The following is a 25,125-nucleotide window of genomic DNA, read 5'->3' on the forward strand; positions in this document are numbered from 1 at the left end:
CGTTCCTCTGATGGTTTCACGTCGTTGCCTATTCTGTCCAGCCCTGATGGGTCTGAGCAAACACCCATTTTTAAGAGAATAAGAGGCCTGACATTTGCTGTCTCTACTGCTAAACCTTTTTCTTCTTTTGCACCCATACTCTGTGCCTGGGGTAGACATTTTGGTGCTTGGGGTCTGTAGATGCCAGACCCAAATCCCTTTAACTAGCTGGTGACTTGACTTTACCTGCTATGAGGGGTATGTGCTAATGGCTCACAGCTTCCCCCTTCTCCAGATAACTGCCTTCGGAAGACAGGAGCCATCTTGCCAGCATCATTCCCTCAAGGCCCACAGCCAATGCCTAAGGGACATGGGCTATAAAGGCCAACCTCCTATAAGGGCATAGCTGTTCTGTGTGGTGTGGGCTCCAGAACTTTCCTCCCATGGACCAGATTAAGACTAGGCCTCACCTAAGACCAGATCCTTGCTATGCTTCTCCCACTGCCCTCTGCTGTGTCAGGCTCTGCCTGTAAGGAACCCAACCTAATTTAGCTCGTCTCTGTTCAGTCTGTGATTCCATAGAACCCCTTTGTAGAAAAGCTATTTTAACTGGCAAGCAGATTGCTTTGCTCCACAGCTGCCCTTTGGAGGTTTTGTGTAATCCTATTAATATTTGTCTGTGGTTAATTTATATTTTAAGGGCTAGTGGGTTTCTAGTAGTAACATATGTAGATCACTGGGGAGGAGGAACCTGAGGCAGCATAGACTAGTAGAAAGAGTGTGCCTTGGCATTGAAGGGAACTGAGTCCAGCTCTACTCTCAAGGGTCATTTTGACCAGGGGTCAGTTGATGTAGCTTTTGGGTCACAGTTGACTTTTCTGTCAAGTGGAGAGAGGGCAAAGATGAACCCTAAAGTCTCTTTATGTTCTGTTGGGTGTTCTAGGACTGTAAGATTCATATTCTTCTCTCCATTTTTACCCAGAAGGAACATGCAAAAAGAGATGCGCATATGCAGGAAGGATACATGTGGACAGAGTGGACCCTAAACTCAATTATCCATTTCCTATCTCCAAAGCAGAAAAGCCACACACATATTTTAGTGATATTTATTCAGCACATAGTGCATTCAAAGAGCTGGTTTTAAATAAAATGGTCTAAGCACCTGCTTTTTGGTGGGAAGCTGGCAGCAGGGCTTCCTCATTTCACTCTGGCAACCACTCAACATCTGCTCTCCTTGGCTGTTTGCATTCATAAAACTATGTCAGCGTCTGTTGAAAAAGACAAAACCTACTCAGATCAGTGCAGGACTCATTTGTAAAAACGAAAGTGCTCACTGAATCAATCATAGACCACATTGTTCATTTGAAGAGTGGAGACTTCACTTGCTCTTCCTTCTCTTTTAAATTTTCGAAATGCTTTCACATTTACTCCTTCATCTGGTCCTTCTGGCAGCGTCATAACATACTATCTATTTGTATTTGGAAGGAAACTGAGGCAGAGTGTGGTTGTATGACTTGATTTTTAAGTGACCAAGAGTTAACGTCAAAGCAGGCCCAGAGCACCCTGTTTAGGCTCTCAGCTGCCTGAATTCCTACCACATCACACTGCCTTTCAACACAGTCTAGAGTTTGCCTCAGTGTTTCTTAAGAATTGTGCACAGGAAGTTTTCAAGGAAGGGGGATAATTGTTATAGAAAAAGGAATGGTTTCCCGTGACCTAAGTTTGGGAAATGCTGCAGTAAGCAGGCTTCTTTACAGTGAGACATCTTGGAGCCTTGGATGTTGCTGAGGTGTTCCAAGATTAGGCATTGCATGTAGGATTTCCAAACATACTGGACCACACCTCCCTTTATTCCCATATCATCTCGCATCTTGGAAAGCATTCCAGTAAGTCAGACTCATTGGTGTATATGATACCCACAGTTTGGATATTTGGATGATTTCTGGGACTAAGTAGGCATAGTCTACTACTGCAGCTATTTCAGTGATCAGTAACCTAATAGCTTGGTTTTGTTTGCATGTTTGTGTATGCATGAATACTGACAACCCTACTTGTTGCAATGTGAGGAGTGTCATCTCTAGCCCTTTGGCTTTGAAAAGGTTGCCATGAAGAACTTACTGATCACTCTCTTGTAGAATTAATTCAAATCTCAAACCCTCTCAAAGTTTTCAGCAGGCTAACAGGGCCTCATGACTTCCAACAACTTAGATATTCAAGGTGTAGCAGTTTTGACACAGCCTGTAATCTCTTGGTCTTAAACTTAAGATTTATTCAAGCTCTTTTTTTCTGAAAAGCTCTATAGCTCTCCAAAACAGATTGACATCCATCTATAATTACAAGCACTTAATTGCCCATATATAATAAAATTTCAAAGACTGCAATTATCTCCTCCACATAGACATATACCTCTCACAGTTCAAAACCAAGTACCTTTGTTGGATTCAGATTATGTATTAATAATTTCCCAGATCACTCGGCCCTACTTGTCCCTAGGTCTCGGATTTTGCTCAGTGGAGATCCCTGGCTGTTGTCTTCCCATTTCCTATCACCACTGGCAGCAGCTCAGGCATCCTATACAGAACTTACTCGATCCATGAAAGCCTGGGACCTCTTTATTTTGGGGAAGTGAATGAAACCAGCCATGGAGCTGGGGATTAGCCTTCTCCCAGACAGGCTGAGTAACACAGGCTGCCAAAAGAGGGGAGGAGGGTGGAATTACCTCAGTGAGACTCCTGGCCAGTAAGAGATAGGAGGCAGAAAGAAGCCAACAGGAAAACTCTGCTCCTATCCTCCTGCTGACAGGTAGTTCTGAGGTGCAGTGGTTCCTCATGCTACCTCCAGAGCCCTCCAAAAAAGTGGCTGTGTGTGTGTGTGTGTGTGTGTGTGTAGCTATGGCTGGCTCAGAAACTACCACCTTTGACTTACTGTGTCAACTTCCCTTGACTAACTCTTTATGCCCTGGACTTGTATCTCCCAAGGAAGCATTAGCATTCAAACTCTTCCTTAAGCTCTATTCTGGGGAACTCAGGCTAACAATTCCATACATAGCCAAGAGTTTTCTCTGTTTGTAAAGTTATCATAATCATAGCTCATGTATACCAAACCTTACTATACAGACTGTTCACACACAATACTTCCCACAGCACACAAGAACAAAATTGTGATAAGCCACTGTCTATAACACATTGTTTATTCTTATTGGTCCTAAAGTAGATCTATTTCAAAGTCTTTTCTGCAGATGATAGATGTTAAGTGTTCATTAAGAAAATAGTTATGCTCTAGACAAGAATGCTTCCAGATTTCTTACTGTTTAAGTATGACTAGCTCATGATTTTCTACCCCAATCCTATTCAAGGGATAAAATGTATTCAGATAAAGAGGGGGAATAGCATATATACTATATTGTAGAGGTTACAGATTGCATACAAACCTAGGAAGAAAGACCGGTTCATTTAATCATATATTTTAATAAAGCAATTGAAAAAAGTGGTTAATTCCCTATCCCTCCCTGGCACAATCAATATAAAGCTAATTTGTATAAAACTTGGTTCTTTCCTGTGGCCTAGATAATCCACAGTTCGCTGGACTGGAGATGAGACCTTTTCAAACCCTCATCTGGAGAGATGTCCCTACAAACATAGATTATCTCCATGAAATGCACTTCCACTGGCAACTAAAAGTCCCTGTCTTCCCAGAGGGGATTGTGGGAATCAGGAAAAACAGAACAAGCTGTGCTGCAGTAACAAACAAGCCAATTATTTTAGTGGCTTATAACAGTAGGAGCTTATTTCTCACTCTCCCTACATGTCCATCAAAGGTTGGCAGGGCATCTAATCCAAGTCATTCTCCCTTTGGCAGCAGCAATCACTGAAACCATCACCAGTTACCTTGGCAGGTAAAAGAAGTGTGAATTATGTAATAACTCTTAAAGCTTCAACACAGAAGTGACATAATCATTTCTTCCCACATTTTACTGAGCAAAGCAAGTCAGATAGTCAGATGGCCACACCTTATTTCAAAGAAGGTGGGGAAAAAATAGTTCTACCAAAAGTCCTAAAGAAGGAGGATCAGAGTATTTGCTTACAGCTCTAATGACCAGGGCTCTATGCACTGTCACCAAAGGAAGAATCGATCCTGGGAAAGGACGGTCAGTAGAGCAGTTTTGCCAAGTGCAGCTTGCCCTCTCTGAGGTAACTGTAGATATCCAGATGTTCTCTAATATTGGAAGGTGGTGTGCCACAGGTGCGTGACACACTACCATTACCAGCTCACTCCGCCCCTGACTCAGGCCACCTAGTGTAAATGTGTAAACACTTGTTTAAAATCCCCATCTAAGAAGGAGGCAAACTGAGCTCTTCCTCTCTGGGCTAAGCAGCTTGGATAGGGGAGAAGTAGAAACTTGCCAGCCCCACTGTGGGGCAGGATGGTATTCAGAAGTCATACCCTGACATACCATCCACTGTGCTGAAGGTTTACATCTCCTGTTTCTGAAACTGAACGCTGCCAGTAGAGTGAACTCCCTAATGATTTGGCATCCAGAATACATCATCTCCAGATTCATCAGCCTGCTCTGGAAGCCTTTGAAAATGCAATCCCCAAGTCCTCTGCAGAGAGCATCCTGTCAACCTGGGAGTTGGCTTGTTTTCTGTGGTGCTTTCTTAGCAAACACCAAAAGCTATTTTCCAGAGAGTTCCTTTGAATGGTTCCTATAAATCAAAGATGAAAGACATTGTGGCCAGAGGCCTTTTAAAGAAATTTTTGGTCTTTCTTCACCAAGCTTTTAAAAGACCACATCTTCAGAAGCCATTTTTTAAAAATCTATCTAGGGCTAAGTAAAGAATAATATAGAGCAGAGATAGTGGAGAATTTTCCAGAAAAAAAAGAAAGAATAGAACAAATCATAAAGAGTTTTTAGGTACAGGAACCTAGAAGCATCTATACTGGACACATTTTTACAACTATAAAAATGTCATTGTTTCTTCTTTAACCCCATTAAATGGGGCAAAGGAGAAGAGCGCATTTCCCATTTTCTCCTCTGAAGTGATTCCCCCATTATGCTGTCCCTGTGCCCAGAGGTTACTGCATTAGCATGACCAAGCCCCCAAATGTCGCATCTCCCTGCTCAGAGCCTCTCTGGCTGCTTGGAAAGCAGGCAGCAGTTTAATGAGACAAGTTCCCCTTGGAGACTCCTCTCCCCTCGAGGAATTCTGTAAGTGCTTTATACAAAACAGTAATAGGATGGTTCAGCCAGACTCTCTGGCTCAGATACACTAACTGCTGCTCCCTTTGGGAAGGAGGAGAAGGTAGCCGAGTGATAAGACCATTACCACTGACTGTGCCCTGTGAGCTGGTAGTCCCTGAAGCCACTTTTCTTGCCCTTTGCAAGCATGAAAGGAAGTCGGTGAAAGGCTGATCAGAACAGACTTCCTGGTGGGAGATAAAGCTGTCTATGGACAGGCTCTGGATGATAATGGGCAGAGAGTGATTTAGTACCATGATTACTTCTGAATAGAGGCTGCAAGCATTGTGCCCAGGAAGCCCAGTGAAGCTGCGGAGGAGTGACCAGAGAGAAATCCACTAGGCTGGATACACATAGGAGAGCTGAGCTGCCTACCCTGGCATTAGGAGGAGCCAAGAGCAACCTCTGGGAGGCCTTAGCAACACCTCTCAGAACTCCAGGATGCATCAGATAAAACAGTCCCATCTGTGGAGAATTTCCCTCCTCTTTCCATATACACTTTACCCCTGTCCTCTGAACTCACAGATTTTTAATTTTCTTATGACTCCAGACTTTAGGGGTACCTGAGCCTCTGCCTTATTGTTTTTTTTTCTAACAGGTTGGAATGTTGTTGAGATTTACTAATGACAGATCAACAGCTGGAGTTAGGGGGAAGTTAGTGAAAGCCATGAGCAGTGTCAGAATGAAATAAGGTCTGCGGGTGGGACTTGAGATGGAAGTTCATGAGGCAAGATAAGGAGTGGCCTGAACAAAGCTGTGCTTTTATTTTTATTTTTCTTTCTTTTCTTCTTCTTCTTCTTTTTCTTCAATGTATGGTATTGATTGAGATCTCACTGTCAACTGCACCAATTAAAAATTCTATTCAACCCGTGGAATAATTTTAAGACATGTCCACAAATTCTTTGATATTCTTCCCTTTAAGAGTTGGAGACTAATTCTCCTCTGCTTGAATGTGGGCTGACTTCATGACTTGTTTCTAACAAATAGAATAAAGCAGACATGACAGTGTGTGACTTTAAAGACTAGGTAATAAAGCTTATTGTGGATTCCCCTGCTAGTTCTCTTTCACTCTCTCACTTGGAGCACTCATTTTTGGGAGAAGCCAGCTGCCATGGAATGAGGACTCTTGGGCAGCCTATGGACAGATCCACTCTGTAAGGAATTGAGGCCTCCTGCCAACAGCCATGTGAGTGCACCATCTTGGAGTCAGATCCTCCAGCCCCAGTCAAGCGTCATTTGCTGCGGCCCTTGTCAGCATCTGACTGCAGCCTCACAAGAGATCCTGAGCCAGACCTCCCAGTTATGCTGCTTCCAAATTCCTGACCCACAGAAAGTTAGTGTGAGATAACATGTATTTCTTGTTTTGGGATGATTTGTTATGCAACAATAGATAACTAAGACAACTGGGATTGTAGTTCCTATGGCACAGACAGTGGCCCGAAGTAAGTAACAGATGACCAGAATAAAGTCTGCACCAGTGTTCTCTAGTTAATGCCACAGTTTATTAGCACTTGCTTTTATAAAACACTTTGAAAATCTGAAGGCGGGGGGAAGAAAAATGAGGCAAAAGCTTTCCATTCTGTGCATGGTGTTGGCCAAATGAATTGATTATTTTAGAGCATCACAAGCTTTGTTTCTTTGTGCCTTTCCCTGGGTCATGTGAAAAAGTCTTCCAGTCGAAGTCTTCCATTCAGAGCAGTGGTTACGTATTCATCCAGTCATCATTTTAAAGTAAATTAGAAGACACATTTTTCTATTCTGTATTTAGACATTAGATTGGCTAAATTGGAGCAGAAAGGAATAGAAGGAAAGCAGGGAGAAATGAGTAAAAATGAGAACTATAGTTTATATTAGTTTATCTGTGAAGCACCAAAAAAGTCAAGAAATTTCATATTTTAGCAGCTAGAGAAAAGGTGTCCTCCCGCAGTTCAAGTTTTTATGAATTTTATCCCTAAGCTTTTCATACCCACCTTGATTTATTAGCCTTTCTCAGCATTATATCTTGTGGACCTGACAGGAGAACATAGTGCAATGAAACATCTGGTAAATTTTCCCAGACCCTATTATGAAATATCTTCAATTTTCAATTCAGTGAAAAGTAAACAAGTCATTGTCTTCCCCAGAAGTGATTCACTTTGCTGTCAGAACCCACGGGCTGTAGGCGATAGAGGTTTCAGAGTCCTTCTTCGGGTTGATGGGTACACGGGGCCCCATCTTTTGCAGTACGGGTGAGCTGGAGGGGTCAGGTAACTCTTGGATGCTTCACCTAAACAAATACATCTGCTTGCTCAGTGAAGTGATTATTTTTAAATTTTCGAGTGATGTGCTTTGTTGTTGTTCAGAGGTCACTTATGAATTGACATTACATCAGCAAATAGTAATTGCTTAATTTCTGCAAAAATACCTCGTTTCATTTCCATTCCAACTTTTCAACCAAAACACACACACACACACACACACACACACACACACCCCATGGCTAGGCTTGAAAAAGACAAGGCAGATAATGTGGCCGCCTACAGCTGCTTGTTGTATTACATTGCCAGCTTCTTTTTCAAAGGAAAGCATTCCAGCAGATCTTTCTGACAGCAGTCTGTCCTGGACGTAAATTAAAATGCACATTTCTGAAAACTTTTTATTCATTAAACAGAAAACAATGCCCAATAGCTGGAAAAGATACTATCAGCTTGGTATTTCAGGAGATTATTTTTTCAACAGGCGTGTTTATAGAGATAACGTATAGAGATATTAAGCAGATACACTTGACTGACAGACAGGGAGGACTGAACCATAAGGACTTCAAACAAGCACGTACTAGCTTCAAGTGCACTGAGCATCTGCCAAGAGACTGAATGACTCAGAACCAGATGATTTTATAACAACACATATGGAGAAACTGAGGTCGAATGTGGGAAAGAAATTTGGTTAGCATTTCACATAAGTGATATCAGTGTGGTGCAAACAATTCAGATGTAGAAAGTGGGGAGGGGGGTGGAAAGGCTAAGATAAATGCTTCCAAAATTAGAGTAGGTTAGCTTGATTCTGAAATCACTGCCGCAACTCCATTACAGAGGCTCAGAAATGGTCCACAACAGGACATTTGAACTGTGGCTAGCATCTGATTCATTCGAATCGTCAGAGGCTGTCTCAGCAGTTCAGCAAGTGGAAGGGCTTCTTTCACAAAGATAAGCTCAATGATTGAATCTCATTAATATCACCCATATCAATCACAGTGCTGGCCACGTAATACACATTCAATAAATGTTTATGCAAGAAAAGGTGGAATTGTTTTCAACATTTTGGATCATACCTTCTATATTAGCTATATACTTCCTGCTTTTCTTCTTCCATTTGAAGCTGAATGAAGACAGAGGGGGATCCACCTCTCCCTAAATGTTCTTCCTTGAAACAAATGAGCCTGCTGGAAACCCTCAGAGTCTCTAGCACCATTGTTATTACAGTTTCTCTGTCTTTCTCTCCTTTTGATTTCACCTTAATAAGCCCTAAGCCTATTAATTCTTCTACTTGGGGAAGCCACCAAGGTGAGAAGAAGGAACACCACTTGCATTTTGCCCTTCCTTTTCTCCAGGAGCCAAATCATGATATTTTTGTAAAAGCATCTCTCCTTTTTTTCCTAGTTATCTCTCAGAGATGATGGTGGATCACCTCCGTGTGGGGGCTGCTTATCTTGGTGGGGATCTGGTGGTGGGCTTTTAAAGTTGGCCCAAGCTGAGCTGGCTGGCTGCAATTCTTTGTGCTATTTATTTAAGAAAAAGAAAAAGGAAGAAGCTATTGCTGTCTCCTCTGGTGTGCTGGTGTAGAAAATGTGAGTGAACATTTTCATTTTCAGCTCCAGTTTCTTAATCTCTTGCAGTGGAAGAAAGACAGTATGCCAGTAAACTCAGAACTTCACAGACCCCACGCTCATGCTCAGCTTTATGGTAAATATTGTAATACTGCCCCAGGAAAGTAGGACACAGGCATGGGAGAATGTCTAAAGGCAGTCTGAGTGTGCTCCAATCAGTAGTATTTTCTTCTATGACAAATAGTTATCCTTTTGGTGAAACCTGTTTTAAAATGCTAATCCAGGTTTGTTTATAGTTGGCCTTAGCCAGCAAGCCTGCAGGCCTGCCAGGCCGGGCAGCCATGTGTGACCCTGTTCCTTGAAAACAGCTTCACCCAGGGCTCAGGCGTCTTGTGGAAGAAGGGTTTGCTACATTATAAAACCAAGGCAGTGGAGGCCAGAGCGAAGAGCAAGTGGCCTTGGAGTTTTCTTATTTGATATGAAAAAATTGGCAAAGCCTATTTTTGGGGGAGATCAGGGTTCAAAAAACAGTGGTCAGAAAACACTGGATAAGGCTAAACTTAGTGGTACAGAGAACTTTGATTCCTCCAGCAGCCTTCTCATGTGGGATCAGATAGGAGAGCTGGTGTAAAAGCAAGCAGCCAGCGGTAAAGTGTTGAACATGAATGTGCAGGCTCATCACGGGCTGGCTGCTGAGTGGGGTCATCTTTGTGGCCAGAACTGCTGTCTGTTAGCTCAGTTCCATTGCATGGGCCTTGCTGGCCTGGAGGAAGCAGTGACAGAGGCAGACCCATGCTTATCCAACCTCAGTGCCCATAATAGAGAAAAATTAAAGTAACACCTGAAAAATAAAAAAATAAAAATAAAAGTGGCTACACAGCCAGGCAAGAAGGAAATGAAGACAGGATGGCTCTGAGCTGTGTGCTCTCCTTTTTCTCTTATTGTAAGTTAAACTATGTTCTATAGAATGCTGAACTTCCACAAACATCTAACCTAACTATCCCCTGTATCAGGAAAACAAAGTCAAAGTTCATAAAAAATGAATTAAAAGGAAGCCAAAAATACTATTTTATGAAACTGAAGGCAGCTTTTTGAGTATAGTGAGTAGGGTGTCTAGGTGTGCAAAGATTAAGAGAGAGGGCAGGACACTTTTATTTAAAGGATTCCTGGTTAGAGAGGCAAGGGCATGGCCAGGAATGGGGTTCTTAAGACAAGAGAACCTAAATTACTGTGCACGGTAAGGCAATAATAATGACAAGAGCTTGCTGTCATGTGAAATGAGTTTTTCCTTTCCTCTGTTCCGGTCTCAGTAACAGGGTGGGGAAGAGAAGAGTGGAAAGGAGATTCAATAAGGAAAGCACAGGTGCCAGCAATAAGATGAGGAAGCCAGGGCCCAAGGAAGGAGCTCTCAGGACAGGATGATGGGGATCTGCCAATACTGAGAGCTCAGCAACTGTGACGTTGCACAGCTGCTGTGGTTTCAATGTGTGTTCCCCCAAACTCATGTGTTGACATCCCAACCCTGCTGGGATGGTATTGGGAGGTGGTACCTTTGGCGAGGTGATTAAATCATGGGGCAGAGCCCTGATGAATAGAGTTAGTGCCCTTATAAAACAGACCCCAGAAAGCTCCCTTACCCCTTCCACCATGTGAGGTCTCAGCAAAAAGATGGCCCTCTATGAACTAGGAAGTGGGTCTTCCCCAGACACCAAACCTGTCTTGATCTTGAATGTTCCAGCCTCCAGGATTGTGAAAGGTAAACATCTGTTGCTTATAAGCCCCTCAGTTTATGGTATTTTTGTTACAGCAGCCAGAACAGACTAAGACAACAAATGCTACAATCACTCTCCAGGTTTCCTCATGCCTTTAAAAGAGCTTGAAGAGCCATTAAGTTTAGGATCCACCTGGTGACAAGGCTGCTTTGGGTACACTGTGCTCACACTGCAGGTCACAGGGACCCAGAGGCCAGAGAGGACTGGGAAAGTGAGCCAGGCTGGGAGAATGCTGTCAGTTGACACCAGGACACATGGGGACCATCTAGGAATTCTCAGAAATGTCCCCAAAAACAGTTAAAGTGTGGTCATCAAAATGAGGAATGAGCTGAAGCTATCTTAATAGTTAAGCCAAAGCTATCCCAGAAGTCTGGGACTTGGGAAAACTGTGTCAAATGGCCACGGACACTGCTCATATTGATGAAAAACACAGAAACCATGTTGTTCTGTGAGTACAGTGGTGCCCATGTGCACATCAAGGTAGACAAACCACACCTAGTTTCAGAAATGCTGATTCGGCTGCCCTTACCATCTTCCATAATTCCTGGCACACTTCCTCATCTCCCTGCCTCCTCTCCTATAATCTTCTCTTCAAATCTGCCTGGCTGTGTAGCAATTAGCAAGCCTGGTGGTGCAGGTCCTACAGAGCCTGGCGGCTACACCGTCAGTCAGCAGCTTTATGCCAGCCAAGGAACGTGGGAGGCTGTGATGATTTATTGAATGTATTGTTTCTACTAATATGAGTAAACAGGCCAAACTACTTTTAAAAAGCCAGAAGTGAAACTACTTCTCCTGGGGAATCATTAATATAAAACAAAATGATTGGTGGAGAGCTTGAACATAATATCATGCTAAATGTATAATAGTAGAAGGTTAAATTGCTTTCTGCTATCTGTTCTTTTTGTCTTACAGTCTAACACTCTGTATGATATTATCATTAAACCACATAAGATGTTACTTCCTCATTGTCCTGAGACTTGATTAAATACTTCATTTTGGTTCTTTAAGTTGCTATTTTTTTGTGGGGGGTGGGGGGCGGCGCTTATTTCTATTTTTAAAATTTATTATTACTGAATTAAATTTACATATAGATAATGAGCTTAGAAAAATATATTCACCCGTGAAACCACTACCGTAATCAAGACACAGAATATCTCCATCATCCCAGAAAGTGGCCTTATGTTCCTTTCCAGTTACTCCTAACCAAATCCATCCCCTGCAAGGTCAACTCTGTTCTCATTTCAAAAATTAGTTCTGTCTGTTGCTGAACTTCATATAAACAGGAGCAGGCTGTATGTGGTCTTTGGTGTCTGATTCCTTTGCCTAACAGGTTTTTAATATTCATTCATGTTGGTGTATGCCTCAATGATTTATTCATTTTTATTGCTGAGTCCTATTCCATTATATACATGTAACACAATGTGTATATTCATCCTACTGTTGATGGACATTTGGGGAGTCTCCAGTTTGGAACTATTGTGATTAAAAGCTGCTATAAAGGTTCTTATGCAAGTCTTTTTGTAGGTATGTTTTCATTTGCCTTGGGTAGGAGTAGAATTGCAAGATCAAAGAGTAGACGTATGTTTAACGTTAAAAGGAACTGCCAAACAGTTTTCCAAAGTACTCACAACGTTTTTCATTTCTACCAGCACAATATGAGAGCTCTGGTTGTTCCACATCCTTGATGCCCTCTTTGTTAGCCATTCTAACAGATGTGAAGTGACATTTTGTTGTTGATGTAGTTTGTATGTTTGTCCCCTCCAAATTTCATGTTGAAATATGATCCCTGGTGTTGCGAGTGAGGCTTAGTGGAGGTGTCTTGGTCACAGGGGCAGATCCCTCATGAATGGCTTGGTGCCCTACTTGCAGTAAAGAATGAGTTCTAACTCTATTAGCTAACATGAGAGCTGGCTGGTTAAAAGAGTTTGGCATCTCCTCCTCCCTCTATCTCTTGCTCTCTCTCTCACCATGTGACACGCCTGCCCCACCTTCACCAACCACTATGATTGTAAGCTTCCTGAGACCTCACTAGAAGCAGAGGTCGGCACCATGCTTCTTGTACAGTCTGCAGAACTGTGAGCCAAAATAAACCCCTTTTCTTTATAAATTACCTGGCTAGCCTCAGATATTCTTTTACAGCAACACAAAATGGACTAACACAATTACAGGCTTAATTTTATTTCCCTTATGATGATGTTGATCCTATTTCCATGTGATTATTGGCCATTTGCATATTTTGTTTCGAGAACTCTCTATGCAAATATTTTTTCCATTTCATTATTGAGCTGTTATCTTTTTATGCTTTGGTTATTTATAGATATTTTTACACATTCTAGATAAAGTACTACTATGTTCTCCAGTCTGTAGCTTACCTATTTATTTTCTTAACAGTACTTTTTAATGAGAAGTTTTTAGTTTTGACAAAGGCTATTTTATCAACCTTTTTATTTTATATGTAGCATTTTTTCATTTCCTCTAGGCAATCTTCACTTACCTGTTTGAGTGGTTTTTCGGCTGAATCTTAAAAAAAAAAAAAATTTAAAGTGTTCTCAATAATAAACATTGCCAGATTACCTATGTTTTTAAAAATATCCCTTTATTTGTATTATTTTTATTTTAGTTACCCGAATGCAGTGGTGTGCTGGTAAACTGATTTCAGATTGGGCAGGGGAAGCCCTGATTTATAGTATTTGTCAATTTCCATGGTGTGCATACTCCCACCATGACTGATTTTAAACTGTGATTTAAAAACTGGGTCACAAAATTCCTGAATATTTGACAATGGGCTCTCATTAGCTATTATGAGCCCTTCCAGAACACCACTGCAAATGCTACATGAACACATGTGGCCAAAGATAAACCCTTAGGGAAAGGTTGTTCCCAGGAACACTAGAAAGATGCCATGTTTTGAGAGACACTTGGCCACCCAAATTGGAGCAACAGTGACCATGACTGACCTCAGAGCCATATCTGACTTCCAACTATGGTTCATATACACAGAAGTGCAGATCAGAGTGATGTGAAAGCCAAAAAATTCAATGCTGAAAATGATGAACGCACTGTCCTGGTAAATTAGTTTAAGAGTAGAGGGTCTGCTGATATTCCAATTATTGATAAGATGAAGAGGCAACTATCACCTGAAAATGCTAAAAGGAAACTGTATGGGAAACTGGAGGACCTCATAGGCTGGGACAAGAGGATAGACACTGACACTATAGACAAAGAGAGCGGAGTAGGGACCAAAAGAGAACGACACGGGAAGCCTTGGAACCCATGGATGTATCTTCTACTAGTAAGTTCCCCTGGAGTAGGAATTCAACATTAAACCAGAAACGCCAGTGAGAAGGTAAGTGGATATGTATCATCCACCCCTGCTGTGGCAAGGTACATGCTGATGTTAAGCCACAAGAAAGGACCATGGGCTCAAAACACCTTTGAGTAATAAGGAAGAGTCTCATACATTACTTTCTTTTCATCAAAAAGATAAGAAAATTTATAGGAATCTTCTACCATGGTAGTAAAGAAAAAGAGGCATTTCATAGCAATCATTCTGCAACAAATTTTCATGTTAGAGTGGGGAAAGCCTGGAGATTTACAGCTGCATATGGTTCTCTGTAGCAGCAATAACAGAAATAGGGAGCAGGGAACACATTTTGAAAAACGTGTATTCTTTCAAAACTAAGCTTTGACCAATTATAGACAGATTTAGAAGCATTTCCAGTTTAAATATATTAAAGTTATTTCATGAAATATACTATATGTGCGTATATATACATATATTTATATTTAACTTAGTTTAAATCATCATAATAAAATGAATCCACTTATACTCACTAACGAGCTTACATAGTTGTCCCTCTGTATTCATGGTTTCAGCATCTGCCTGCAGATTCTGCAATCCACAGATTACAAATATTTTAAAAAACAATTAAAAATAACGATACAAAATTTAAAATAATGCAAACTTAAAAATAGTACAAGAACTATTTTCATAGCATTTACATTGTTTTAGGTATTATAGGTAATCTAGAGATGATTTAAAGTATATGGGAGGATGTGCATAGGTTATGCAAATACTGTGCCATTTTATATAAGAGACTTGAGTATGGGGCATTTTGGTATCCACAAGGAATGAATCCTTCATGGAATACCAAGGAACAACTGTATAATAAAACTTCCCCAGTGCCAATACTTGATATTCATTCCTTGATCCCGTTTCCCCACTTCCCTCCGTTCATAGAGGAAACTTTTCTTCATTTCAGGCCCCAGTGGTTTTCCTAACTCTGCTATCTGCTCAGCCATGAACTAAAAGGATGTTGTTGTTGTTTTATAATTTATCCCACAGTTTTATGTGTCCTATATTAAGACATTTCTTTCACACTAGTGTGTCAAATTTTTAGAAACAGGGAGTCCATATATTTTTAGGATCCCTAAATAATAGGCTTGTAGGGGACCTGCTCATCAAGGTGCCCTCACCCATGTGCTCTTTCTCAGAGAAGCTGTCCCACCCTCTCCAGCTCAGCCAGCTGCAGAGTCTGGACCTCATCCACACCCCACTCCTGTTTACAGCTGATTACATGAAGCTTAGACACCTGAAACAAGCAGAGCTTGATAACAGGAAAATGGAGATCTAGGTAGCTCATCTTGGCCACTGGGTTTGGGAAGTTATGTAGGACTGGGGCTGAGGGTACTGCTTTCTGTCGTATTTACTCTCTTCTGCAGAAAGAAAAGATGAAGGGGAGGAACTTTCTAGTCTAACTCTCTCATGATTCCTAGTCGTACTTCTTGCCTATTGGTAATACATGCTGCTCTTTTATCTTTTTAATGACTGTATCTTTTTTACATTTTTGTTTCAAAAGTTTTAATGGGGTTCTGTTTCATGAACTAAGTTTCTCTGATAAATGCAAGCTCATGTTGACTTGAGGAGAAAGAAAATGCTGATAGAAGCTGCAGTGGCCCAATGTGAGAATAAATGAAAGTCTAGCCAGGAAAACATCAACTTCTTCAAGCATTTCCAACAGACAGAATTTAATGCAGGGAGGTGGTAACCCAAGTGATAAAGGAGCTGAGCACCAATCAGAAGATGATGAGAAACCCAGAGATTAGCAACAGCAGGAAGCCACTATCATGCCTAAGCTAGAGGGACAAAAAGAGCAGGGGGTGTTACTGGAACCAAAGGTTTGGGTTTTACTGGGAGGTGGGGTTCTGGAACCATGAAGGGCCTGTCTGGTGAGGGATGTAACCAAGAGGGAGGCATAGCTACTGCCAAAGAAACCATCCACGGCAGAGTGGGAGGGGAGAAATGGACTTCTGGACTTCCTCCTTTCCCCATTCTGCAATTTTCCTGTTAGTGTCTTCCACTAGGTGAATTCAGCCAGAAGCCAACTGACGCTGATTACTATAATGTGGAGAAGAGCAGAGGAAGGAAAGAAATGAATCTGAGGTCCAGGACTGGTACAGTGTAGACGCAAGGCATTCTTCTCTCTTTGTAAGCAGAGTAAAACAATCATGAATATCACGTATATGGAAACAACATAAGTGGCCAATGATAGGTAAATGGTTAATTGGTTATAAAATATTATGTGGCCTTTAAAAATAATATTAAAAAGAATTTGCAATTATATGAGAAAACATTAAAAGTTGAAGGTTAAGTAAAAATTTAGAAAAATATTACATATAATTTCAGCTACTTAAATTATACATAGAAAACAACTGCCAAGTATGTATATCAAAAGGTAAATATTGTTCTATTTTAGGATAATGGATCTTTGTATTTTCTTATTTATATATATATTTTTTGTATTGGGAAAATTATCAACATTGAGCATCCATTACTATTATAACTGGAAAAAATTATCTTTATCACCACTTGGAATATGGAATCCACTGGGGAAATGAACACAGCTCCCAGGAAGTTTATCTGCCATTTGGTGACATGACTATTAGAAATGATAGTCATGATGCTCTCATCTTCCTATAGTATTTTGCATTTTATGAAACACTTGTACTGTTTTTTCTTTATAATCTCATGAGCTAGCTTTTCCTGTCTTGCAGAGAAAGAAATAGAAATGTTACAAGATAAGACTAGTACTGTAAGTGAGAGCCAAATTCAGAGCCTTGGTGTCCCTTGCCAAAGCACTCTGGGAGTCAGTACTCTTCTCCAACTGCTTCAGAGCTTCCTCTTCAAGACACATGGTAGGAATACGCTTTTCCACTTCCTGGGAAGTGTGGTCATGTGACTTGCCTTGGCCAATGAAATATCAGCACAAATAATGTCTTTTACTTCCCAGTAGAAACTTTAAAAGCTGGCATACAATTAGTGACAGTCTCTTTCTACAACTATGGTCATCATGGGAGCACATCTAGAATGAAGCCTCCATAAGCCCAGGCCTCTGAGAACCCCATCTATTCACCTGCTTTGGGCAATAATATAGCATGAACAAAAAATAAGCTCCATTGGGTTAAGACACTGAGATTTCAGGGATGTTTGTAAAGTCTAACCTAACCCATTTTGATCAAAACAGAATTTATTTTCTTCAAAGCACTAAAATGTGTATCTGATATATCTATTCACATCCAAAGATAATTGAGTAGTGACTACTTGTATAAACAGTCCATATACTGTACAAAAAATAAAAATATCAGAGCAGAATAGTCAAAGATATATGTTTTAATTGTCTAGAATAACTTTATAAGTGATACAGAAGTAATTGTGTAAACTCAAAAAGAGATGGAAATAGCAAATGTGGTTTGGAAAAAATCTCCTAAGCACTACATTTTTGCTTTCTCTTCCTCTTCTCTTCTTTAAAAAATGTAAATTGGTTTCCTTCCTTCCTGTACCAAAAAGCCATTAAGGCAGACCCAAATATGTAGGTGATCTGAAGTAAGCAGGCTCAAGTAGGGGTTGAGCTTGCAAGCAAGGAGGGGGGCAGCCGGGTGGGGTCAAGAGATTGATTACATACCAGGAGACTGAGGTATTGGGAGCACTGGGTTACAGCTTTCTCGCTGTCAAGGAAGAGAAGCACAAATATGAAAAGGAGAAAAGCTAAAATAGACCCTGTGGTATTGGATTGGAATTGGAAGTAGCAGTGAGAATTCATGATTTTCAATGTAGTTGAAAAATATAGAATGAATATTATCTACATAGACACACACACACACACACACACACACATATGATTGATCCTCCGGTGTCAGGGGAAGAACAGGATGTGTCTGAAAGTGAGTCTGGAACACCTTTTTGGGACAGAAAGTAAGGAAATGGTCAAAGAATGATGAGGAAATGCCCAGAGTTCACATACATAGGGTCTTTTATTGGCCAAACTTGGGCAACTTGAGCATCAAAATAAATAATAAGAATTGTTTATAACCCATTGAATTAACTAGAAAGCCAAGAGTCTAGACTGATATAAATAAAGGAAAGAATAAATTCTTCAGTGAAAAGGGAAAATTCTTCCTTATGATGGGAAGCCAACTAATAAATGTAGAAGGAATGACAGTATTGGAAAACAACCATTTAGCAACCATCACAATAATCATTGATTTGGACAAGAAACATATTGATGGGTGCAAAAACATGTGGTTAATGACTTCAAACTACACTACAAGGCTACAGTCACCAAAACAGCATGGTATTGGTACAGAAACAGACAAATGGAACAGAACAGACAACTCAGAAATAAGCCCTCACATCTATAACCATCTGATCTTTGACAAACCTGACAAAAACAAGCAATGGGGAAAACATTCCCTATTTAGTAAATGGTGCTGAGAGAACTGTCTAACAATGTGCAGAAAATTGAAACTGGACCGATTCCTTATACCTTATACAAACATTAACTCAAGATGGATTAAAGACTTAAATGTAAAACTCAGAACTATAAAAACCTTAGAAGAAAATCTAGGCAGTACCATTCAGGACATAGGCACAGGCAAAGATTCCATGAAAACAACATCAAAAACAATGGCAACAAAAGCAAAAATTGACAAATGGGGTCTAATTAAACTAAACAGCTTCTGCAGAGCAAAAGAAACTATTATCAGAACAAACAGACAACCTACAGAATGGGAGAAAATTTTTGCAACTTATCCATCTGACAAAGGTCTAATATTTAGAGTTTACAAAGAACTTAAACAAATTTACAAGAAAAAAAACAACCCCATTAAAAAGGGTCAAAGGACATCAGCAGACACTTCTCCAAGGAAGACACTTGTACAGCCAACAAACATGTGAAAGAAGCTCAACATCACTGATCATTAGAGAAACACAAATCGAAACCACAGTGAGATACCATGTCACACCAGTCAGAATGGTGATTATTAAAAAGTCAAGAAATCACAAATGCTGGCGAGGCTGTGGAGAGATAGAAATGCCTTTACACTATTGGTGGGAATGTAAATTTGTTCAACCATTGTGGAAGACAGTCTGGTGATTCCTCAAAGACCTAGGAGCAGAAATACCATTTGACCCAGCAATCACATTACTAGGCATATGCCCAAAGGAATATAAATCATTCTATTATAAAGATTCATGAGCATGTATGTTCATTGCAGCACTCTTCACAATAGCAAAGACATGGAATCCACCCAAATGCCCATTAATGGTAGACTGGATAAAGAAAATGTGGTGCATACACACCATGGGATATTATGCAGCCATAAAAAGAAACAATTATCATGTCCTTTTCAGGGACATGGATGGAGCTGGAAGCTATTATCCTCAGGAAACTAATACAGGAAAGGAAACCAAATACTTCATGTTCTCACTCATAAGTGGGGCCTGAACAATGAGAACACATGGACATAAGGAGAGGAACAACACATACTGGGGCCTGTTGGGAAGGGGCGGGGAAAGGGAGAACATCAGGAAAAATAGCTAATGCATGCTGGGCTTAATACTTAGCTGATGGTTTGACAGGTGCAAGAAACCACCATGGCAAATGTTTACCCATGTAACAAACCTGCACATCCTGCACACATACCCCAGAACTTAAAAAAAAATAAAAAACCTTGGCTGGGAAATAGAAAAAAAAAAAAAAACAAAGAATCGTGGGTAAAAGCTAAATGAGGAATGGGATTTTACATTGTGTCAAAGTACAACCCATATTATATTTATTAATAACAAAGAAAGAATAATTTTACAGTGAAGAAATCTGGCAGGCACCATTTCAACCAAGTGATCAATGTTAACACCGTCAGTAACATGACAGACATTGTGTGCCACTTGAGAGAATGCATTGCAAAGAACACAGCATTCGTGGTATTCCCTCCATAAAATATATCATTGATGTCTAATCATGAGGAAACTTTGGAAAACTTAAATTGAAGAACATTCAAAAAATGACTAGTCTACAATCTTCAAAAATATCAGGGTCATGGAGGTCAGGGAAGACTAAGGAGGAAGAGCATATGGGAGGTTTTTGTACTCTTCTTGCAACTTCTCTGTAATTTGGAACTGTCAAAATAAAATATTAAACAAATCTATTAGCACAGAACAATAGGTTCACAGCAGGCACTAGAGGAGGGAGGGTCCAGTGGAGCTGAGGAGGACCCTGTGCCAGAAGAGAGACCTTAAGGCATCATCAGCATTTCTCACAGTGTCACCCAACAAAATCAACCCTCTTGTGAACTTCCAGTGTTCCATTGCAATAAGTGGGTGATGGGCACTAATGGTGGTGCTGGCTGGGTAAAGATGCTTTCCAATTTCTGCAAATTCCCCATTTGGAAGAGTCAGATAAAAGAAGAGAATTCAGTGAGTACAGGCCAGGGAAGCAAGAGGAGAAGGGCACAGCAGGCGAACGAACCAGGGTCCAAGAGAAGCTTCAACCCAAGCCGCTAAGCAGACAGCAGCCCTGATGAGAAAAGCAGGAGCACAGAGGACACGTCAGATGGTAGTGAAAGAGCTTGCAGCTGGGGATCCCTGCAAAGGAAAAGAAGTACAAGGTAGGGGCTGAGAAGCCACCACCAGATAGCCAGGGTGCAAAACTGGGGGAAAGGAGGCCAGATCAGAGAACCAAAGTGAAAATATGTAAAAACGAAAGACAGAAAGTAAAAATATATCAAGTTGATGAGAAGCAAAAGGTCAGCAGGGCCTCACAGAGATAGGTGGATTATTTATTGGTGTTAGAAAGTGAGATTACAGAAAATTGAAATAAATTCTGTGCCTGAGAGTTTATGGGAAAGGCTGGCAGATGGGAGACAGAAATATAAATTCCAGGAAGGAAAAAAAGGCACAGCTAGGAAAAGCAAGGGAGTGTACACGTTGATAATATAAAGATTATACTACCTGGAATGTGATAAAGCATCAAATTTGGAGAAACCATAGTCTAGTGTTCAAAATTGGCAGGGAAAAAGTAGCGACATTTCTCTTTAAAATTGCACCCTAAAGACAAGAAGCTGTTCTTACTCTGTAAAGAGGTGAACATGCTGTGCTCAAAACATCATTCTGGAATCAGAGGAAGTAAGAAGAAAGAGGGAAAGCCTCATGTGACATTCTTAGTCAGGAACCTCGGTCTTCTGATCCAGCTGGTGGGAAGACACACAGAATTTACCTCCACAGCCTGAGGGCATTCATCTTAGCATCCTTAGTACCTGATACAAGAGCCAGTCACACAGCAGTTGCTCAATAAGTTTTTTCACTATCTGAAGGGTGAAAGTTTTCCCCAAAGGATAAAGGCAAACAATGAAAAAAGGGAAGAGTCTCTATTATTAGGTGAGATCTCTGGGAGAGTACCAGGAATAAATAATTATGGAGTAAAAAGTTACATTAAGGCTACCTTTTAGGATTTCATTTTAAAACATTTTGAAACAAACTTGCAAAGATTTTAGTCAGCAATTTACCACCATAAATTGTTTCTGTAAAACTCCTAGCAGATGCCAATGAATGTACCTAGAACAACTCCTACACATTCTTCTGTGAAATTCATTTCCCTGGTCTCTTTCCCCCTCCCGGTCCTAGCTTAGGTTGGAAGTCATATTACCAGGATATCCAGATGTAGCAGCACTAGTGGTCGCCCACCCGCAACTGCTCAGTCTACCCCCAAAGACTCCTGCAGACAGTTGTCCTTCACGCTGACTGCCCACTGTAGCCCCTGCCTAAGCAAGAGTCTGGCTGGAGAACAAGTCCAGCCAGAGTGCTCAGGCAGCAGAATGCTTGAGAGGTAGTGTCCCTGGAAGGAACTTCCAACCAGCAAGAACCGAAGATGATGGCTTAATAGCCTAGTGTCCACACCCTCCGCTGGGGGCAATTCTGAGATGTACTTCTCACAAACTCAGAGGGTCCTGAGCATGGTTGAGCTGTGGATGCCACTGTCGTTACCAAATTCTGTACTGATCTTCTTCCTGCCTCACTGCTCCACTGCTTCACAGTGCTCCCTGGGACCAGGCTCCCAAATTAACGACCTGCATTCAAACCCTTATATCATAATCTGCTTTGGGGGAGAACCAAACTAAGACATCAAGGATGGGAATGTGACCTAAACAAGGGCAATCACAGTCCTGCCTTGAATGTTTTCAGATTAGAGCTAAGGGAATAAAGCCTCTTCTTGTTGGAGAATCTGGGAAAATGAGAATAGTTGCTGGTGATAATCAGGGTTCCGGTTTGGCAGAGAAAGCTGGTGTATTAGTTCATTTTCACACTGCTATAAGGAACTACCTGAGACTGGGTAATTTACAAAGGAAAGAGGTTTAATTGACTCAGAGTTCCATATGGCTAGGGAGGCCCCAGGAAGCTTACAATCATGGCAGAAGGGGAAGCAGGCATGTCTTACATGGCAGCAAGCAAGAGAAAGAGAACATGTAAAGGAGGAACTGTCAAACACATAAAACCATCAGATCTCGTGAGAACTCACTATCACAAGAACAGCATGAGGGAAACCACCCCCATAATCCAATTACCTCCCATCAGGTCCCTCCCTCGACACATGGGAATTATGGGGATTACAATTCGAGATGAGGTTTGGGTGGGGACACAGATCCAAACCTTATCAGCTGGTATGGGTGAATGAATCCATATGCCCATGCAGGTGTATTACATTGTACATTCTCAGCAAGGTCAGTAGGATGTGAGGGGTTACTTCCCCTATTTCTCTAAGTTTCACTAGAGACCCCAAGGCTCAATTTTAATAAAACAGATGTCAGAGACCCTCCTCCAACCCCATTTTATTGAGCTCCTCAGCTCAGGAGATTTAAAAAACGCTTTGCCAAATATAAGTTGTATAGGGAAGAAGGCAAATAATGCATTGAGGGTTCCAAAAGTTGTAGTGCCTCAATGTGCCACCACTACACACTCATTAGAGCAACTCAAGTTAAAGTGCTGGTGAGGATGTGCAGCATCTCGGACTCCTAAACACTGCTGGAAGGGATGTGAAACAGCACGACCACTTTGGAAAACAGTTCAGCAATTTCTTAAGATGTTAACTATATAGGCATCATACAACCCAACCATTCCATCTCTAGGTATTGATCCAGAAGAAATGAAAGCATATGTTCACACAAAGACTTGTATGTGAATTCTGATAGCAGCTTTTTATGTAATAACCCCAACCTGGAAGCAACCTAAATGTAAGTATGGTACACCCATACAATGGAATACTACTCAGCAGTAGAAAGGGACAAACTTTTCAAACACACAATAACCTGGATGAATCTCAAAATAATTATTCTAAATGAAAGAAGAGAAGCCAACCCTCCCACCCCCTCAAAACAGAAAACCAAACCAGACTGATTCCATTTACACAAAAATCTAGGAAACATAAAGTGAGGAAGCAGATCAGTGGTTGCCTGAGGACAGGGGTCAGGGAGGCATGGAGCACAGAGTGGCATGAGAAGACCTTTGGGGTAATGGATATGTCATTATCATGATTGTAGTTTTAGTCATGCGTGTTTGTGTATGATAAATCCATCAAATTATACATCTTAAGTATGTGCAGTTGTTTCATACATCAATTATGCTTCAATGAAGCTATAAAAGTGCTGGTGCATATATTTTGAGAGACAGTTTATGTGCCATATATTCCCTCATAACCTCCCCTCTGAGGACAGAGGTGCATCCCCCTCTTTTTCAGCGAAGTGAGAAGGACTTGAAAGGACCCACTCAGAAAGTTTGATATATGTCCTCTGGAATTTGAGAGATGAAGAGGATGGCACCTAATCTACACCTAAAAAAATCTGAATGCAAGAAACTGTGGCTCCATCAGCCTAAGGGGGCAGAAGAAAGAGAGAAGAGGCCTGCATAGGAGATGGATGTGTCTCCACCAAAGGTGGGCAAATGAGTGTTTCTTGTGGGCCAGATAAGGTCCTCTAGAGAAAGGAGCCAGACTAGGTCATCTTGCAGGAACTATACAGATAAATACTGTAGGGCGACATAACCCAACAGACAGGCTCTGTATGCTACCTGCCCCTAACAATTTTGAGGCTGTGAGGCCCACAGTATATAACTCTAAACATTAAAAATTGGGCCTGACACAGTGGCTCATGCCTGTAATCCCAGCACTTTGGGAGGCCAAGGCAGGAAGATTGCCTGAGCCTAGGAGTTCAAGACCAGCCTGGGCAATATGGTGAGATCTCATCTCTATAAAAATAAAAAATAAAAAAATAACATTTATACATCAAGCTAATGAACACAAGTAAAATGGGTTCCATCCCCTTATCTTGGCAAACATGCCTTCATCCGTATCTTGAAGTCTAGGTTTGCATTTAGAATCTTCAGTCATCACTGAATCCTATACTAGAAAGGGATGTGCAGAGAGCCCAAGCTCTTCATTTTTGGTCTCTTGGCCATGATGAAGGATCATGTAGTTCTTCTCCTCTCCTCCCCGACCCGATTCCCTCCCTCATTATGACAGCCTTGTAGGCACACTTGTAGCTACCCCCACCGCATGTCCAAGCTCCATTCCACGCCCACAAACAGCCACCGGCTGGATCAGGAGAATGGACACCAGAAGCAATCTGCCTTCGGGAGGAGGGACACAGGGAGAGGCTTGCTCAAGCCTTAGAAGCAGGTTCAGGGACACTGGGCAGGAGGTTGTGTTCCAGGAGCATGGTCTGAAAGTGAGGAAAGGGTTAGACCACGTGCCATGTGCCCCTGGCTCCACCAACTCCTTGCCCCACTTCCTGTCTCTGCTCAGGAGTGGACTGTGCGGCCTGGACTCCTGAAAGCCTTGTGTTAATGGGGTGCTGTCAATGTCCAGTGGGAGACAGCACTTCAGGGAGTTGCAGTCAGAGGCCTGATGGGCAAAGTACCTGAGGAAACCACAGACATGTCCTACAAGCAAAGAACCAGTACATTCGCATTGACCACACTCAGAAAATACAAACCCCAGGTACCAAGG

At 41.4% G+C, this 25,125-nt stretch overlaps 1 long non-coding RNA gene across 1 annotated transcript in view, besides 2 other annotated features; it reads right to left on the reverse strand.

The window, feature by feature from the left end:
- The window catches only part of LINC01491 (long intergenic non-protein coding RNA 1491), a 42,853-nt gene that overhangs the window by 9,546 nt on the left and 8,182 nt on the right, over positions 1–25,125 (reverse strand). Inside the window, exon 3 of the long non-coding RNA NR_120336.1 lies at positions 14,642–14,687. This is a non-coding gene — a long non-coding RNA (long intergenic non-protein coding RNA 1491). The remainder of the gene's footprint in view (positions 1–14,641; positions 14,688–25,125) is intronic.
- Positions 1,441–1,520: an enhancer, noted in NCBI's record as "active region_9370". NCBI's record gives its function as "activates an Ori minimal core promoter by ATAC-STARR-seq in GM12878 lymphoblastoid cells {active_cell/tissue: GM12878}" and the evidence as "EXISTENCE:reporter gene assay evidence [ECO:0000049][PMID:35858748]".
- Positions 1,541–1,610: an enhancer, noted in NCBI's record as "active region_9371". NCBI's record gives its function as "activates an Ori minimal core promoter by ATAC-STARR-seq in GM12878 lymphoblastoid cells {active_cell/tissue: GM12878}" and the evidence as "EXISTENCE:reporter gene assay evidence [ECO:0000049][PMID:35858748]".

Source organism: Homo sapiens, chromosome 15, assembly GCF_000001405.40.
Source record: "Homo sapiens chromosome 15, GRCh38.p14 Primary Assembly".
Classification (NCBI taxonomy): domain Eukaryota; kingdom Metazoa; phylum Chordata; class Mammalia; order Primates; family Hominidae; genus Homo; species Homo sapiens.